Consider the following 18,358-nt stretch of genomic DNA (forward strand, 5'->3'; position numbering starts at 1 on the left):
CTGAGAACTTAGCACAAAGAGATAGAAAATAGAAAACAAGATAAGGAACATGAGGGATTAACGGGAGAAGGGTTATCATACATTTAATAGGAGGTCCAGAAGAAAAGGTGAGAAAAAGAGACAGCGGCAATATCTGAAGAAATTACAAGTAACAATTTCCCAGAATTGCTGAAAGACACCAATCTTCTGATTCAAGAAATCAAACATAGTCTAGACAGTTTAAAAAGAAATTCGCAACTAGACATTTCATAGTGAAACTACAGAAAATCAAGTCAAAGAGAACAATTTTAAAGCAAAAAAAAAAAAAAAAAAAACCCTTCAAAGAGTATTACTATTTTTCAGTGGCAATAAAGAAAACCAGTAGACAGCAGAATGGTATCCTCAATGCCCTGGGAATTCTATCCCAAGAAAGCATCTTTCAAGATTGAGGACAAAATGAAAGCATTTTCAGGCAAGCAAATATTGAGAGGGTTTACCACCACAGACTCTCACTCAAGGACCTTCCGAAGGCAGAAGGAAAAGTAACTAGGAAATAGCTGAGATGCAAGAAGAGCAAAGACAGTGGAAGGTGCAAATGAACAATGAATTCCCTAAACAATAACAAAATTGTATCAGAAAAAAGTTTAATTATATTTTATTTAACTTGTATCTTAATTATACAAGACAATAATACATAAAAGTGTAGAGTGATGAAAATGGCATTCAAATGTGTTCAAAGGACTTTTAGCAGAATTAACTTTAGACTGATAAAAATGACTATGAGTTATATTTTCATTTCTAGGATAACAACTAAAAGAATATTTAACAAGACTGTATACTTCCAGACTAGTCAAGTCAAATGGAATGGTAAGATATCAAAAATAATCAATACAGGAAGAAACCCCCCTCTCCTCCAAAGAGTGAAAAGGAACAGGGGAGACAGAGAGAAAACACAAAATAAAATGGTAGATTTAAACTCAAATGTGTGACAAATCATAGTAAATCAGAAGAATCAAATGCTCCATCTGAAAATGACAAAGACTGCCAGGCTGGATTAAAAATAATCCAATTAGTCCAGGCACGGTGGCTCACACCTGTAATCTCAGCACTTTCGGAGGCTGAGGCAGGTGGATTGCTTGAGGTCAAGAGTTCAGGACCAGCCTGGGCAACATGATGACGATTCTCTACTAAAAATACAAAAATTAGCTGGGTGTGGTGGCACATGCCTGTAGTCCCAGCTGCTTGGGAAGTTGAGGTGGGAGGATGGCTTGAACCCTGGAGGCAGAGGTTGCAGTAAGCCAAGACTGCACCACTGCACTCCAGCCTGGGTGACAGAGCAAAATTCTGTCTCAAAAAAACCCAAAAAACCTCCAATTAAATGCTGTTTATAAGAAACATGTGAAACATAAAGATATATAAAGATTGAAACTAAAAAGATGGTAAACAACCTATCATGTCAACATATGTAAAAGAAAACTAAAGTAGTGATATTAATATCAGACGAAATAGACTAGGGCAAGAGACACATTTAAGGGACCTAAAATAAGTGGAAAGATATAACATGTTCATGCACTGGAAGACAATATTATAAAGTTACCAATTTCTTACAAACTAATCTTTATATTCAGTGTAATCCCAATCAAACTGTTAAATTTGACAAGCTGATTCTGAAATTTATATAGAATTGTCAAGGACTAACAAAGTATGAGTATTCCAAATATATAAAAAATAACTATGAATCAACAGAAAAATAGGCAAGAGACCTGAATAGCCATGTCATAAGAGAAAATCCAAATGGTCAATAAACATATTAAAAAGGTGTTCAATTTCTTTAATAATCAAGGAGCTACACATAAAAAGTACAACTTCTAAACTGGTAAAAAACGTAAGTCTGATAATTCTATGTGTTGGTACGGATGTGATTAATGGACGCCCTCATACACAGCAGGAATGTAAACTGGTTCATTGACTTTGGAAAACAGTTTGACATCATCTGTTAAAACTGAAGATACGCATTTTCTGTAAGTCAGAAATTTCATTCCCAGGTATACACTCTAAAGAAATTTGCGTGTGTGAACTGGGAGACAAACAGAAGAATGTTCTGCACTGTTTGCAATAGGCCCATGCGGAAATAACCCATCGAGAGCAAATAAACTGTGATACATTCATACAATGGGATAGTACATTACAATTAAAGGGGAAAGACATGGATGAGTCTCACCAGTGTAATGCTGAGCAAAAGAAACAAAAACAAAGCTAAACAGTATTCTTTAGGAAGACATGTGAAGAAGGTAAAAGAAGAGCAAAGAAATTATTATCATGAAAGTCAAAATGGTGGTTTGCTTTTGGAAGGTGTAAAGTTTCAACCAGGAAGGACCACGCAAGGGAAGGAGGCAGGGTTCTGTGATCCTGTAATGTTCTATTTCTAGCTGGATGGTAGTTGCATGGGTTTTCACTTAAAAGTATTTAAAATATTTATACATTTTACATACTTTTCTCACTTAAAGGTATTTAAACTATTTATATATTTTACATACTTTTCTGTATGTATGATCTATCTCACAATAAGAAAAAAATGAGAAGGAATAATACTGTGCTTCTCACTCATCTTTCTAAATAACTGGGTTTGGTTCTTTGTACAAATTCTCTAAAATGACTAAAGTGGCTGGGCACATTCTCTTCTTGGAAAGATAGCATTATTTAGTAGAAAAAGCAATAAGACTAGGGATCAGAGGACAGAAGCTCTCTTAATTAAATTCTTAATTTACTTCTCTTAAGATGCTCTCTTAAGCATATTAAGTCTCTCTGAACCCTAACTGCTTATCTATTAAATGCAGATTTAACAACTGCCCTTATCTTGGGATATCTGTGACTATCAAATCATAATATAGTAAATTAAAAGATGTTTAGAAAACAACAAACAAACAAACAGAAAAACAAACACAGCAGTTTAGTTTTAATAATCTGAAATTCAAAGATTTTTAATCCACTGGAGTCATGATGAAGCTGAGAGATAAAAACTACCGTTCCATTTTAAATAGCATTATTTGCAAAATGGTGTTATTTCTATCGGTAATGGGTAAACAAACAGGGTTCTATTTTGAGAAAAAAATAAACATAAAATATTAATTTAACCTAACAGATGGTAAGAGATGGTGTCAAAGATGCACATTAAAAGTCTAAAGAGTGAGATCTGCTCTTCTGTTTACAAAAGAAGACTTAGGAATGTCTTCAGCTCTCCAGGAAGAGAGAAATATATTTCCCAAGTTGCCCATCCAGCCCTACCTCCATTACAGATAACATTCAGCCCCTAAATTTTTCTCCCCAAATTGACTGAAAAATACAAGAATAAAAAAACCAAACCAATGTAATTGGGCTTCTCAATTAGCCTTAGTGCCACTATGGGAGAATGAACAAGCAACTGAGTGGCAAGTTTCACTGACTAAAACAAACATTGAAGTATAGAAGTTTTATGTATTTATTGTGCCACTTATAAAATAACTGCCACAAACATCAACAATGCTTTTAGAAGTTTTTCATATTCAACCACTTAGAAGATGACAAAGACAATATAAAAATGCAAAACATTTTACTATATTATAATGTTATATTATTTTTTCTATATAAAATGTTACAAGTTCTACATACCTGAATATTCTCCCTACTCCAAGTATGTGGTGTTTTATTAGCAAGTAATTTCAGATCTTGAATAGCAAGTCTCTTTACTGCCTTCCTGGGATCATTCTTCAAATACTGCAACAGAAGCTGAATCTATAAAGGAAATAAGTCACTCCATAAACAATACTGTAACTGAAATGATCATTAGAAATGCAGTGTAGTTTAGTGAAACTTATAAAGGGACAGGACTCACTTCAAATCAGAGCCCTGTCACTCACTAGCTATGTGCCCACATTTGGGCCTCTTTCTCCATGTTTGTAAAATACTACCATTTAACTTTAAAGTTTTAGCACAGGCCCTGGCATTTTACAGATACTCAATCCTTTCTTTTTTTTTTTTTATACGGCCAACTTCACACCCAGCCATGTACTCCATAACATCTCATTTTCCTCAAGGGCTCCCAACAATCAGTACTGTGAACAGAGAGAATAAAAAAGCAAGCAAAAGCAAATTAATCTGACCTTTATTAGAGAAAAGAACCTTAATGTCCTCAAGACTTGTGGGCCACTTTCTTATTTCTAATCATATATTTAATATGTAAGTTTACCAAAGATAGGCAGTTTAAAGAAAATTGAAATTACCTGCTTAGGTGTATCAACCAAAGATGACGCTGCAAGCAGAGTGAAAGTGTGCAAAGACACAATCACCATTTTGGTGGACGGATAGGATGTGACCAGCTGTTGTAAAAGCTGACGAGCACTGGAAGCCAAGATTGCATCATGGTGCATGTGCTGTAGAATGGGTATCAATTTTAGCTTCAAGTCTACTGGTGTCGCTAAACCTAGACACAAAAATAATTCTCAAGGTATTTGTGATCACCATCCTTAATAATATTCCAGATTTAAAAGCTGTGACTCATTTAGCAAAATTGCACTTGAAAAACACAGTATACTAATATATTTATAACATTAAAGATTATACTAGAACCAATTGATAAATTCAATATTTTTTCCTAAGTATTTATCTTGACATTAACTTTTCAATGATTATAAAACTACATGCTGATAATAAAAACTGCCTTTAAAAAGCACAGTAGAAAGCAAAGTCATATTTGCTGCCTATTTCCTCTCATTGTCATAGTAAAAAAATTATACATACACATATACATATATATACACAAACACACACACTTGATGGCTACAGTCTGATTATACTTATGATTTTAATTATTTCCTTCAACAACTAAATCATAATCAGGATGTGAATAAACTGTGTGTAGAATGGTTTCGAAGTCCTCTGAACTTTGTGTAGTAAATGCCTTTCTTTATTGCATACACGACTGGATCCATGAAGACTAACCCTAATCCACGTTTTCCTGTCAACAGTGGAGCGAAACCAACAAATCTTTTCTCTATGGCATGGCTTTGTGGTCATGGTGAACACAAATTTCTCAGTCGTAATGTACCACATACATGCCACAAGCTAATTATACTCTGCGTATTGCTGGCTTTTCCATGGTGAAATAATTGTGGGTATGAACGTAAGACAGCATTTCAACGTCCAACAGTTGCCTACGTCAATAAACTCCCTTGCTAGATGGCCTCTACTTGGGTTTGCCAGAGGGAAAAGAATGAGATCAGAGTATTCCCTGCTTTCCTCTCTGCAGGGTCACATCATGCTCATGTTATTACTTTGTTCCTTAAGGTTCTGAATGCACTTGACACTGCTGACCATTCTATCTTTGAAACTCACTCCTAATGGCTTTGGCTCTTCCACTTTTACTGTTTTCTGACCTCTTTCTCTGGCTGTTCCTTCTTAATCTCCTTTGTAGTCTCCTTGTCTGTCTACGCTTTAATTTCTGATATTCCCATAGGTTGGTAATAAATTCTCTTCTCATTCTATGTGTTTTCCCTGAGTGAGCTGATATAATCCCATGGTTTCCATTATCGGCTAAATGTGAAAGGCTGCCACCCATCCGTCCTCCTGCCCCGACGTCAGACGCATGTATCTCATTATCTTCTGGTCATCTGCACTAGGAGGTCTCAGAAGCATTTTGTATTAATAAGGCTCAAAGAGAACTGATCTTAACCTTGAAACTGCCCCTCCAAAAATATTCCTGTCTCAGTAAATCACATCATTATAGCTTCTTAGACCCTGGAGTCTTTCTTATTAGTGAAAGGATTCTATCACATCCCATTTCCAAATGTATTAGCAAATCTTATTGGTTCTAACTTCAAAATAAAACCCAAACTGACTCTTTCTACCTCCGTTGTTACCATGCCGATCCATTTCCACTACCATCTCTTGACTAAATTATTGCAAGTCTCCTAAGTATTCTCCCTGCTTAGGCCTTTCCCCATGGCAGACTCCACTCTTATATCCCCCTCTTTCCTCCACTGCAAGTTTATTCTCAACCCAGTACTCAGAGGGATCTTTGTGTTTACAGGCATCTTTACTAAAGATTTAGGGAGGCTCGGAGATTTTACTTGGCAGAAACAAAAGTGGCTTAAAACCAAATGTCAGGATTCTGTTCCTAAAACTCCTCTTTCATTTCCATATCTTAGGTTCCAATTTTCCTCCACCCACACTCCTATGTTTTCCTCTGCCTCTCTCTCCTGCTAATTCCTGTTCTTTCAGATTTTTTTAAGATAAAATTTAAGGAACAATAAGGTAATGAATCTTAAGTGTACAGATTAATGTATTTCTACATATGTATATTCTCATATAACTGTCATCAGATACACAGAATACTCCAGCATCCTAGAAGGCTCACCTGTATAGCTTTCATCAACTCCCTTGCTATCTACCCTTTGTTTGGGTTTAACCAATGGAGAGCCCAGCAGGAGTTGCAGAGAAGAATGAGGTCAGAGTATTTATTCCCTGGTTCTCTCACTGCAGGGTCACATCATGCTCCTGGAGGTTAGCTTCTCAAAGTGGTCCTCCTGACATGATACCAATTTTCTAGTAACCTCTCTTTAACCTGTACCCTTAGAGGTATGGTAAAAGCTATTACGGGTTCAAGAACTACATTATCCCCTATAGTACACCCTGACCATGCCTTTGTGAATGGTTCCTTTATTACACCTTCCTTGAGTTATCTTAATTCAAATGTGCCACCTGTTTCCTGCTGAGATCTTGTCTGATGCAGCAGGCACTGATAAAATCTGCTCAATGAATAAGTGATGCTTCCTTCTAATGTCATAAGGATACTTTTCTGCAGGAAAGCCCTTTTGCTAATGGTGGAAGAAAAAACACAAAGGAATAAAGGGGAACACAACAAAGCTCATTCACTGTATCTTGGTCTTTAAGTGATTTTTATTATTTATGCAAGTGAGCAAGTTCTCTTTAATTTTAATTTGAAGGACAATTTAAATGCGTGCAAAATATAACTACACTAAGCAATTCATGCCTTAGAAGGGCACAGTAGCATAAGTGGTTAAAAGCATCGGCCTCAAAGCCAAACTGTAAGTTATCAGCTTTTTTACTGTGAACCAATCATTCAGCTTTAGTGTGGCTCTATTTCCTTTCCTGTAAAACGAACATAATGGTATTACCTATCCAAGGCTGCCACATTGCACAATTCAAAGGAATGCTCTTTATAAGAATATAAACAAAGTGGTGTTCTCTAGAGTCAGGCAATGCTGTAGCCCAAGAGCTCCCTTTTATGACTGCTAGGATAAATAGGGGTATGACACGTGTATTAACCCTATGGGAGCTCTTGGGCTCCCATAATGACTGTTGTAAGGATAAATAGGGTTAATACACATGACTTATGGTATAAGAGACTGGAAAACCAGGGCTTTGTAGTCTATGGTAAGGAATCTGGATTTGATTCTAAATGCAACTGGAAGACACTGGAGGGACATTAGCAGAGAGTTCCAGAGCTCCTAATAATATTAGCCTCTCTCACACAGAGCAGTCTTCCCTACACTAATCATGCCCCCCATAAGTATGCTTTGGTGAATGATGGACCACATGACAGACGGTGGTCCCATACGATTATAATGGAGCTGAAAAATTCCTAGTAACTTCATAGACCCTGTAGTCATTGTAACACCACAGTGCAATATATTACCTTTTCTACCTCAGATATACAAATCATTTTGTTACAATTGCCTATGGGTATTCAGCACAGTTACATGTTGTATAGGCTTAGAGCCTAGGAACAATAGGCTATACCATACAGCCTAAGTGTACAGTTGGCTATACCATTTAGGTTTATTTAAGTACACTCTATGAAGTTCAAACAACAAAACTGCCTAAGGACCCATTTCTCACACAGGATCCCCATTGTTAAGCAATGCAAGACTATATCTGCATGGCTCACTCCTTTCTCTCCTTCATGTCTCACTCAAGTATCACCTCATCAGAGACTGTCTCTGATCAATATATACAAAAAAGTCCCTTCTCTGATCAATATATATAAAATAGATAAGTCCCTTCTCTCAACCCACCAACGACTTACTTTTGAGACTCTCTATCCTTCTTCTCTCACTTTTTCACCATAGCACCAGAAATGTCATAGGCACATTTGTCTATCCCCACACACCCCACCCCTGACTAGAGTGTAGGTTAGATGGGGGTAAGGACTTTGTTTTGCTCATTCCTGTATCCTCAGCATTTAGAACAGTTTGGGCAAATAGAAGATACTTAATAAATATTATTTGAATGTATGGTGACTAGCAAATAATAAGTACTTAATTAGTGTTAGCAACTATTATAAATCTAATTAAGTCACTTCATAATACTAAATGAAGAATACATACCTTGAATCATTTCACTGATTTTGTTACAGATTCCTACAGCAAAATCCCTTTGGAAAAAGAGAACAGAGAACAGAAAAAACTTACATTTGCTTATATTTTCTAAGGACTTAAAAGAAATAAAACACAATTAGCGCAGAAGAAATACAATATTCCAAACTGCAACTAATATTCCAAGGTCAGGTGCTCGGGTTAGGGGAGGTGGTAAGAAACACAACTAAAACAAAAACTCCAGCACCAAATGGGCTATGCCAACACTGCTCTAAAGCAGCTCACTTAGGCCATTACCACAATACAGTGTTATTTTTTCATAACACTAACAAGCATCTGAAATTATTTTGTGTTTATATAACAACAGGGCCTGACCTTTTTCACTCCTATATTTCTGGAACTTAGAAAAGTGTCTGAACATGGTGGATATTCAGTAAGTATTTCTTTAATAACCATATAAAGACTTCTCATAACAACTTAGAATTTAAAAATCTGTTACAGACCTTTAGGGCTAAGAAACTTCAAACTAGGAGACTGCAGGTTTTTTGTGTGTAATAATATTTTTAAAATTCTTTTTAAAATAACATTTTAAAAATTCTTAATGTCAACATTTAAATATAGTGAGCCCAAATAGAATAATTTGGTTTTTCAGATTATCCCCTCTCCTTTGCCAAAAACCTGAGCACTGGGCATCCATTCCTGCACTGTTAACAATAGGCTGGTGCCATGGGGCACTTTAGATGGAGTGGACGTGCTTCAGTTCACCACAGTTGCCACTAGGGGACACTGCTCTCACTGACAATGTTCACCTGGCCCCTGAAAGCGTGTGAGTTTGTAACTCCTGCTTTGCCACCCAGGGACTAGCAATTTAGAATAAAACAAATGTGGTTATGGTAGGAGATTGGGGGGGGAGGGGGCGGAGAACAGGATTAAATAAATTCTAAAGGTCTTATTTGGCTTGGCTTGTTACTCTGATTTAATATCCAAAACTGATCAATACAGATACTAGAAAAAAAATCCATCAGTACTGACGAAGATATGTGATCTCAAGCCAGGTCATTATTTCCGGGAGAAGATATGAACACTGATATCAAAAATATAAGTCTTGTCAGCTGGCCACAGTAGCTCACACCTGTAATCCCAGCAATTTGGGATTGCTGAGGTGAGAGGATCACTTGAGTCCAGAAGTTCGAGGCTGCAGTGAGCCATGATTGCGCCACTGCATTCCAGCCTAGGTGACAGAGATTCATTTGGTATTTTTTAATAAATTAGAAGTACATCATATTGAAGCATGGTATATTAAAAACTGTTTCTACATAAACTGCTAATTTAGATGTTTAATCATCATTTCCACAAGTGAAGAATCTTGCTGTTTCTCTTACTTGGTCTTAATCATTTTCCAAAACCAGTAATTTTGCAGAGTGAAATAAAATTAGCTTCTAATAAGAACACAAGAGAAAAACTGAACTAAAAGTGATTCTCATATATAAAATTTAATCACTAAACTACAAATTTATCATCCAAATTTAGAAACTAAATTTAGAAACTAAATTTAGAAAACTATTTTTGGAAGCACTGGAAGTATATATTTAATCTGACAGACTATGAAGCACTGACACCTTGGCAGTGGTAATCAGATGGTAATTATTCCCTAGGCACAACTCCTAATCAATAAAAGTACAGTCATGTGCAGCATAACAACGTTTTGGTCAACAACACACTACATACTGACAGTGGCCTCAAGAGATTATAACAGAGCTGAAAAATTCATATTGGCCAGAGATGTCTTGATGTCTGACCCTGTGTAGGTCTAGGTTAATGTATGTGTCTCTGTGTCTTTTCTTTGAGGGGTCTCACTATGTTGCCTAGGCTGGTCTTGAACTCCTGAGCTCAAGTGATACCCCGGCCTCAGCCTCCCAAATAGCTGGAATTACAGGTGTGAGACACTGTGCCCAGCTATGTCTTAATTTTAACAAAAAAAGCTTATAGAATAAGGATATAAAGAAAGTATGTTTATACAGCTGTATGTTTGTATTTTAAGCTAAGTGTTATTACAAAAGAGTCAAAAAGTTAAAAGAAATTAAGACTTTACAAAGTTAAAAAGTTATAGCAAGGTAAGGTTAATTTATTGTTGAAGGAAGAAAAACTTCAAAAATAAATTTAGTGAAGCCTAAGTGTACAGTGTTTAGGAAGTCTACAGTAATATACAGTAATGTCCTAGGCTTTCACATTCATTTATCACTCACTCACTGATCACCCAGAGCAAATTCCAGTCCTGCAAGCTCCATTCATGGTAAGTGCCCTATACAGGAATACCATTTTTATCTTTTATGCCATATTTTTACTGAGCCTTTTCTATGTTTAGATATACATATACTTACCACTGTGTTCCAACTGCCTACAGTATTCAGTACAGAAACATGCTGTACAGGTTTACAGCCTGGGGCAACAGGCTATACCATATAACCTAGGTGTATAGTAGGTTATACCATCTAGATTTGTGTAAGTCCTCTACAATGTTTGCACAATGATGAAATTTCCTAACAATGCATTTCTCAGAATGTAACCTCATAGTTAAGAGACGTGTGACTGAAATTTTTAAAAGTCCTCTCAATACCAACGACTCTCTCAATGAGGGAAAAAAATGCTTATTTTCAAAGGCACAAATAGGAACTGTACTTATTCAGGTATTTCTGATCATCAATTACTGCTGCATCTATTAATTTTGATCTGTGAAATTAAAAATTATATGCTTTCTATTATCTACTTTTTCAGTAAGAATTCCTGGAACTCTGAAGGTTTGATAAGAATAGCTGAAGGGGCCGGGCACACTGGCTCACGCCTGTAATTCCAGCACTTTGGGAGGCCAAGGCAGGTGGATCACCTGAGGTCAGGAGTTCAAGACGAGCCTGGCCAACGTGCTGAAACCCCATCTTTACTAAAAATACAAAAATTAGCTGGGCATGGTGGCAGGCGCCTGTAATCCCAGCTACTTCGGAGGCTGAGGCAGAAGAATCACTTGAACCTGGGAGATGGAGGTTGCTGTGACCCGAGATTGCGCCACTGTACTCCAGCCTGGATGACAAGAGCAAAACTCCATCTCAAAAAAAAAAAAAAAAAAAAAAAAGCTGAAGAGGAGGGTATGCAAATACTATTTTTTAAATTTTAAAAAAATTTATCCTCTCCCTCCCCCTCCCCCTCCCCCTCTCCCCACGGTCTCCCTCTGATGCCGAGCGGAGGCTGGACTGTGCTGCCGCCATCTCGGCTCACTGCAACCTCCCTGCCTGATTCTCCTGCCTCAGCCTGCCAAGTGCCTGGGATTGCAGGTGCGCCGCCACGCCTGACTGGTTTTTGTATTTTTTGGTGGAGACGGGGTTTCGCCGTGTTGGCCGGGCTGGTCTCCAGCTCCTGACCGCGAGTGATCTGCCCGCCTGGGCCTCCCGAGGTGCCGGGATTGCAGACGGAGTCTCGCTCACTCAGTGCTCAATCTTGCCCAGGCTGGAGTGCAGTGGTGTGATCTCCGCTCGCTATAACCTCCACCTCCCAGCCGCCTGCCTTGGCCTCCCAAAGTGCAGCCTGTGCCCGGCCGCCACCCCGTCTGGGAAGTGAGGAGCGTCTCTAACCGGCCACCCCATCTGAGAAGTGAGGAGCCCTTCCGCCTGGCAGCCGCCCCATCTGGGAGGTGAGGAGCGCCTCCGCCCGGCAGCCGCCCCATCCGGGAGGTGGGGGGCGGCCCCCGCCCGGGCAGCCGCCCCGTCCGGGAGGGAGGTGGGGGGCAGCCCCTGCCCGGGAAGTGTGGGAAGTGAGGAGCCCCTCTGCCCAGCCGCCACCCCGTCTGGGAGGTGTACCCAACAGCTCATTGAGAACAGGCCATGACGACGATGGGGGTTTTGTCGAATAGAAAAGGGGGAAATGTGGGGAAAAGAAAGAAAGATCAGATTGTTACTGTGTCTGTGTAGAAAGAAGTAGACATAGGAGACTCCATTTTGTTCTGTACTAAGAAAAATTCTTCTGCCTTGGGATGCTGTTAATCTATAACCTTACCCCCAACCCCCTGCTCTCTGAAACATGTGCTATGTCCACTCAGGGTTAAATGGATTAAGGGCGGTGCAAGATGTGTTTTGTTAAACAGATGCTTGAAGGCAGCATACTCGTTAAGAGTCATCACCACTCCCTAATCTCAAGTACCCAGGGACACAAACACTGAGGAAGGCCGCAGGGTCCTCTGCCTAGGAAAACCACAGACCCTTGTTCACATGTTTATCTGCTGACCTTCCCTCCACTATTGTCCTATGACCCTGCCAAATCCCTCTCTCCGAGAAACACCCAAGAATGATCAATAAATACTAAAAAAAAAAAAAAAAAAAAAAAAAAAAAAAAAGTTAACTTTTCAGGATTCAAAAAATTTATTATTCACCTGGTTATAAAACTGGAACTTGCTCATGCCAAGATATAGAGATATAGAGAAATTTATAAAAAGAAAATAAAAATTATATACCATCTTACCAAGATTTTGATATATATCCTTCTAGTCTTTTTTTCTATTGCATAAATACAAATATTACGGCTTTTATTTTTTTTAAACAAATCTGTTACATTATATAAGCTATTGGGGTTTTTTAAAACAAACCTGTTATATTACATAACCTATTATGTAACCTGCTTCCAAATATGTTTCTAAAAACATTGGTTTTAAGTTGTTACCGTATTCTATTGTATGATCATAATTTATCTAAGCTCAATGGAAGAAATTTAGGTTGCTTCTCATTTCTTTTGTTGTTACAAGTAACACTACAACCAGCATCCATACAAATAATTATCAGTACATATTGCTGTTATCTTAGGATAAATTCTAGAAGTGAATTTCCTGGGTCAAAGGGATGTACTTGTTTAAGGCTTTTCATACATATTACCAAAATGCACCCCAGAAGGCAATGCTACTTTTCCTGTCAGTCAGGGAGATACTGTATTTTCTTTTACAGAAGAGAAGCCAATCAAACATAGTAATAAAACCATGGTCAACATTTAATCCTCCTGCCCAAAACAAAATACTGTTCTGTAAAACAACAGTGTAGGACATGACATTCTGAATAGGTTAAAATTGGTTTTAATTCAAGTTATTGTCTTTGCCAAACTGTGGACAGCTCTAATGCAAAACAAATTAACATTAGAAGACAGTAAGTAAGCAATTTAGTATTACAGATCTATATGTCTGGGAGAAGCTCCTCAGTCAACAAAGCTTCTGCTACCCAATGAAGCCTTCTCCAACTAATCTATGCTGATCCTGTCCTTCTGGAAACTCATTTCATTTACACAATTAATGCCAACATTTGTACTTACATTTTCCATTTTATGAATTTAAGTCTTGTTTCCCCAACATAAGGTAAACCTTCTTGGAAAACACACCTTGTAATTTACACTTTCCTGTATCTCTCAGTGTTTATATAAGTTGATCAGTTTTTCCTTCAAAAATTTTTCTTGGGAAGCCAAATTACTAAAAGGGATGTACTTTTGTAAGCTTACTTTGACTGTGCAGAGAAGTTTGCAGCAGCAAAAACAGCAGCTTCAACTTCTACATTATCATGTGAATCTAAACTCTGACGAATACTATGATGAGCATTCTTCCTCTCAGGAATTATTGATGCCAGACTTCCCAACATCCTACAGAAACAGAGAAACCCAAGAAGATCGGGCATAAAATAAAGTCAAGGTCAGAAAAGTAAGAGGCAAGGCAAAGTCAGATTATCAAAACTAAAGTTTATAGGTAATTCTATGTAACTCCAGTTAATAAAGCATAACTTTAGAAATCCATGACTCAAATTTTAAACGCTTTTACATATTTCAATATGTCAGAAAAATTAAAATGGCTTATCTAAAAAGCAAAATTTTTAACAATCACCTTGAAGTACCTCCCAGGTACCAAACAGCCCAGGAAGGAAACTTCTGAATTATTAAAGCATCAAAATATCAATTTTCCAATGTTGCATAAAGAAGTCCATTTCAGCAAAGCATTAAGAATACAACATTTTTGCTGTTAAGCAGATACACAAAGTAAAAAAAAGTAAGAGCTCCCAATCTTTTTTTCCCACATCAGTAAATATTGGTATGATGATTTTCAAATGTCCTCAAGATCAAGAAAGCAGTGGTTGAGGACGCCCCTGGGGCTCACACCAGAATCAACAACGGTGCAGAAGGTAAAGCTTGGAAAACACAGTCTACTTTATAATAAAATCATACATTTAGAAAGGAAAAAAATCTATTGTTTGTGGTATAAACTACAGAAAGTAGTTTGAAAAATCCTTTCAGCAGAAAGGCATACATTTTAGAAATTTGCAAAACACTGCAGTAAACAAAACCTACAATGTTCCTACAATGACAACCTTCTTCAAAGTCAACATCCTAAATAACCTTCCAATGTGACATGTAATCACCTAATTATTCCCTGTAATTACACTCAAAGTAGTACTGTTCCTAGTACTGTTAAAAATAAGTAATACTGTTAGTAGCAAGAAACTAAAATGGACTAAATATGTAATTTATATTTAATTTGAAGGTTTTGGAATTATACATCTTTCAAAAGAAATAACAAATGACTATTAATCTATTATACCAGAAAAGATTAGACTAGGCTAATACTGACACATTTAATGACTTATTCCCACTGCTTCCGGCTTAATTTTTCTCTTCCTACTTGAGTACCTCCTTCTAGAATGTTTACAAAACAGGTCCTATATGGCAAACCTCCTAAGGCCTTGTGTGCCTGAGAATCTTTTTATTTTACTACTCTTTTAAATGAAAACTGGATTAGATATAAAATTCTTGGCTCAATTTTCCTTTAATACTTATTGCATCAAGTGTTACTGTAGAAAAATCTGATTTCAATCTAATTTTTTTTTCCTTTAAAGTGATCCTTCTTTTTGGAAGCTTTCTAGAGATCGCTGGCTTTATTGATAACCACAGTGCTTAAAAAAAGAATTGAGGCAAAAGTCAATTGCCATGACTTAGAGAAGGGCAAGCATGGAAAATGATTAACATTCAAATATTAATCTACATTCTTATCAAAATATTCAGGCTAGCTCTAAATTATTTATGAAATTCATTCCACCAGTTAAATTCTATTCTTTTCTATTATCTTTTGATTAAAAAAAAAAAACCATGTTTGTGAAAACCAATTCAAACATTACCAAAAAAAGCCAAATGGAAAAGCCTCTTGTAATCTACAACCCAAAGACTCTACCAAAAATAATCACTGTTAACAGTATATATTCCTCTAGATTTTTTTCTGAGCCTATATAAACATATATATTAATATCAACTAGCAAAATGAGTTAACAAAATGGATACTATTTGACTACTTTTTAAAACAATATCTTTCTATGTCAGTATATATAGACTCACAACTCACTTTACTCTTTAAAAGTTATACAGTAGTTCACCAATAGCTATTCCCATGTCGATTTTTCCCCAATTTTTCATTCTACAAAAATGATACTATAATCATCTATATACATATATTCACCAACTTTTAAAAATGATTCATTTAAAAAATTCCTATAGGTATATTTGCTGAAGTAAAGGGTAAAAATACCTTAAATTTAAATTCTGGGACAGGTGCAGTGGCTCACGCCTGTAATCCCAACAATATGGGAGGCCGAAGCGGGCAGATCACCTGAGGTCAGGAGTTCGAGACCAGCCTGGCCAACATGGTGAAATGCTGTCTCTACTAAAAGTAAAAAAAGATAGTTGAGTGTGGTGGCGGGCACCTACAATCCCAGCTACTCGGGAGGCTGAGGCAGGAGAATTGCCTGAACCCAGGAGACAGAGGTTGCAGTGAGCCAAGATCACGCCACTGCCCTCCAGCCTGGGTGACAGAGCAAGACTCCATCTCAATAAATAAATTAATTAATTAATTAATTCGATTGAATATAGCTTTCAAAAGATGAAAATCAATGAACTGACTTTAAAATATCACATATTACTCACAATTTAATCACTCAAAAGGCAAAGAAATGACAAAAGCACTAAATTCTGAACAAGAAGGAAGAACTGATTCCTGATATGGAAAAAACGACACTCAGGGAAGATGTGACATCCCAAACTTCCTGGTTAAAAAGAAGACTGTCTGGGCAGGCTAGGTCAGAAATGAACACTATAATTTAGGAAAGTGAATTTCAAAAGATATAAAAAGTTATAGATATGATACTATAAATGGCAGAGCTAAAAAGAGAATATGGTTCAAGCTGGATATAAGGCTTACAAAATGAAATTCTAACAAATAAATTTTTTTAAATATGCCAAGAAAGAAAAGAAAAAGCTAAAGAAACTATAGTGGTTATATCTGATGTTCTCCAATGAAATCAAATATGATTTATCACATTAAAAATGATCACATAATCAAGGAAGAATATAGAAAACTGACAGAAAACATTAAGTACAAGGGCAGGAACACGAAGTTCAAAATGTGCTGAGGCTAAGCTATATTGAGATCCACCAAGTTATTTGATCAGAACACCTATCTACATAGAGATGCATTTCAAACACAAGTTAGGCAACAATTTATAACCAAAACAGTTAACACAGATGTTAACTAAAAAGCATTTGCAGACTGGGATAGTTATCACAGTTTTGCCTTGACTCTTAGTCAAAAAAACATAAACAACTCCTAATACTCAAAATGAAAAATGTAAATACACTGCCTTTTTTGTACATAATTACAGTTCAAATAATCTCATAGTGAATTATTATAATACGGTATATACCGGAGGGTGATGGCTCTTGCCACAGGATCATTACTATGAATCACAGAAAAAATTCTCTTCACAAATTCATCCACATTTAGAATCTTCTCCAAATGTTTCTCACTTTGTTGGGTAACTTTAAGAACACATAGCCTCAGGAAATTATTTCTAGAAAAACCAGAAATAAATTAGGTCACTTTAGAAAGTAATATTTAATTAGGAACCAAAGCAACACTAATAATATTAAATTTTAGCAACACACAAATATTTTTCAATCTTAACATTATTTGTTTAACTACTAAAAGAGTTAAAGTTTGTACTTTAGGTGGACATTAAGCATAAGCAGTGAGCTATGCTACAGTCTTGCTGCAAGACACCAAAATGGCAGTGACACAAGGAGAAGACCTAGAGCAGAACTAAATCTCCTCAAACTATATTATAACCAAGGCCAGGAAATCAGACGGTCTTTCTCTTCTCTTGGGCTTATTCCACAACTTCTTTTCTCCTTCCAGTGTGGTATTGTGTGCATATGAGCACGAGTGCATGGAGAATGGCAGAAAGCAGCAGAAGATGGAATGGTCGGGGGAGAAAAAGCAAATAGGCATGTATTCAGTGCTTACATGTTTCAGGTACTTCACAGACATGCATCTCATGCTATAAAATAAATTATTAAATTAAATCAGAAACTTCTCAAAAACAATCTGTACAAAGACACAGATTTTCCTGAAGTACACAGTAAAATATTAAGGTTGTCTTAATTTTATTCTGTTCTCCAAAGAAATAAGTATCGTCTAAATTATACTCTTCATTTTGCTTTAAATGTCATTAAATCTCACACTGATGTGCTGCACACAGTCATGTGTGTCCACTAATGGTAACTAACCAGGTGGAAGTACTAAAAGGCAAAAAGAAAAAGACCACAATATAAAACAAGAAATATGAACAAAGTACTTTAGGACATCGAGAATTTAAAAAGACTTACCCAACTCTGAAAACATCAGCTAACTTTAGGAATGCAGAATTGATAAGAATAGGGAATGGATACTTCTGAAAAAGTCTGGGAAAGCGAACAACTGCTTCACACTGTTCACCAAGTTTGCCAGATCTTAGGCCTATGGAAAAAAAAAAGCACAGAGAGGGAAGAACAGTTTGCATATTTGTGGCTACAAAGCAAAAATAGCAAATATAATTTACTAGATAGTAAAGAAATAATCATTCTTAAGAAGCAGGTAAAGTATAATTCATTACCCTTTTAAAAGTAAAAATGGT

General features: G+C 36.7%; 1 protein-coding gene across 7 annotated transcripts in view; it reads right to left on the bottom strand.

Annotated features, from left to right (window-relative positions):
• The window catches only part of INTS7 (integrator complex subunit 7), a 95,155-nt gene that overhangs the window by 62,609 nt on the left and 14,188 nt on the right, over positions 1 to 18,358 (bottom strand). For 5 of the 7 annotated variants that reach the window (XM_047417179.1, NM_001199811.2, NM_001199812.2 and 2 more), the window contains exons 2-7: positions 18,072 to 18,201; positions 17,111 to 17,257; positions 13,875 to 14,012; positions 8,364 to 8,410; positions 4,239 to 4,438; positions 3,628 to 3,750 (exon numbers count right to left, since the gene is read on the bottom strand). In XM_047417179.1, coding sequence (XP_047273135.1) covers positions 3,628 to 3,750; positions 4,239 to 4,438; positions 8,364 to 8,410; positions 13,875 to 14,012; positions 17,111 to 17,257; positions 18,072 to 18,201 — 785 coding nt within the window. Of the gene's footprint in view, positions 1 to 3,627; positions 3,751 to 4,238; positions 4,439 to 8,363; positions 8,411 to 13,874; positions 14,013 to 17,110; positions 17,258 to 17,709; positions 17,744 to 18,071; positions 18,202 to 18,358 lie in introns of all 7 variants that reach the window. The other 2 variants (NR_037667.2, NM_001199809.2) reach the window with 2 other exon arrangements.

Source organism: Homo sapiens, chromosome 1 (genome assembly GCF_000001405.40).
Source record: "Homo sapiens chromosome 1, GRCh38.p14 Primary Assembly".
Lineage (NCBI taxonomy): Eukaryota > Metazoa > Chordata > Mammalia > Primates > Hominidae > Homo > Homo sapiens.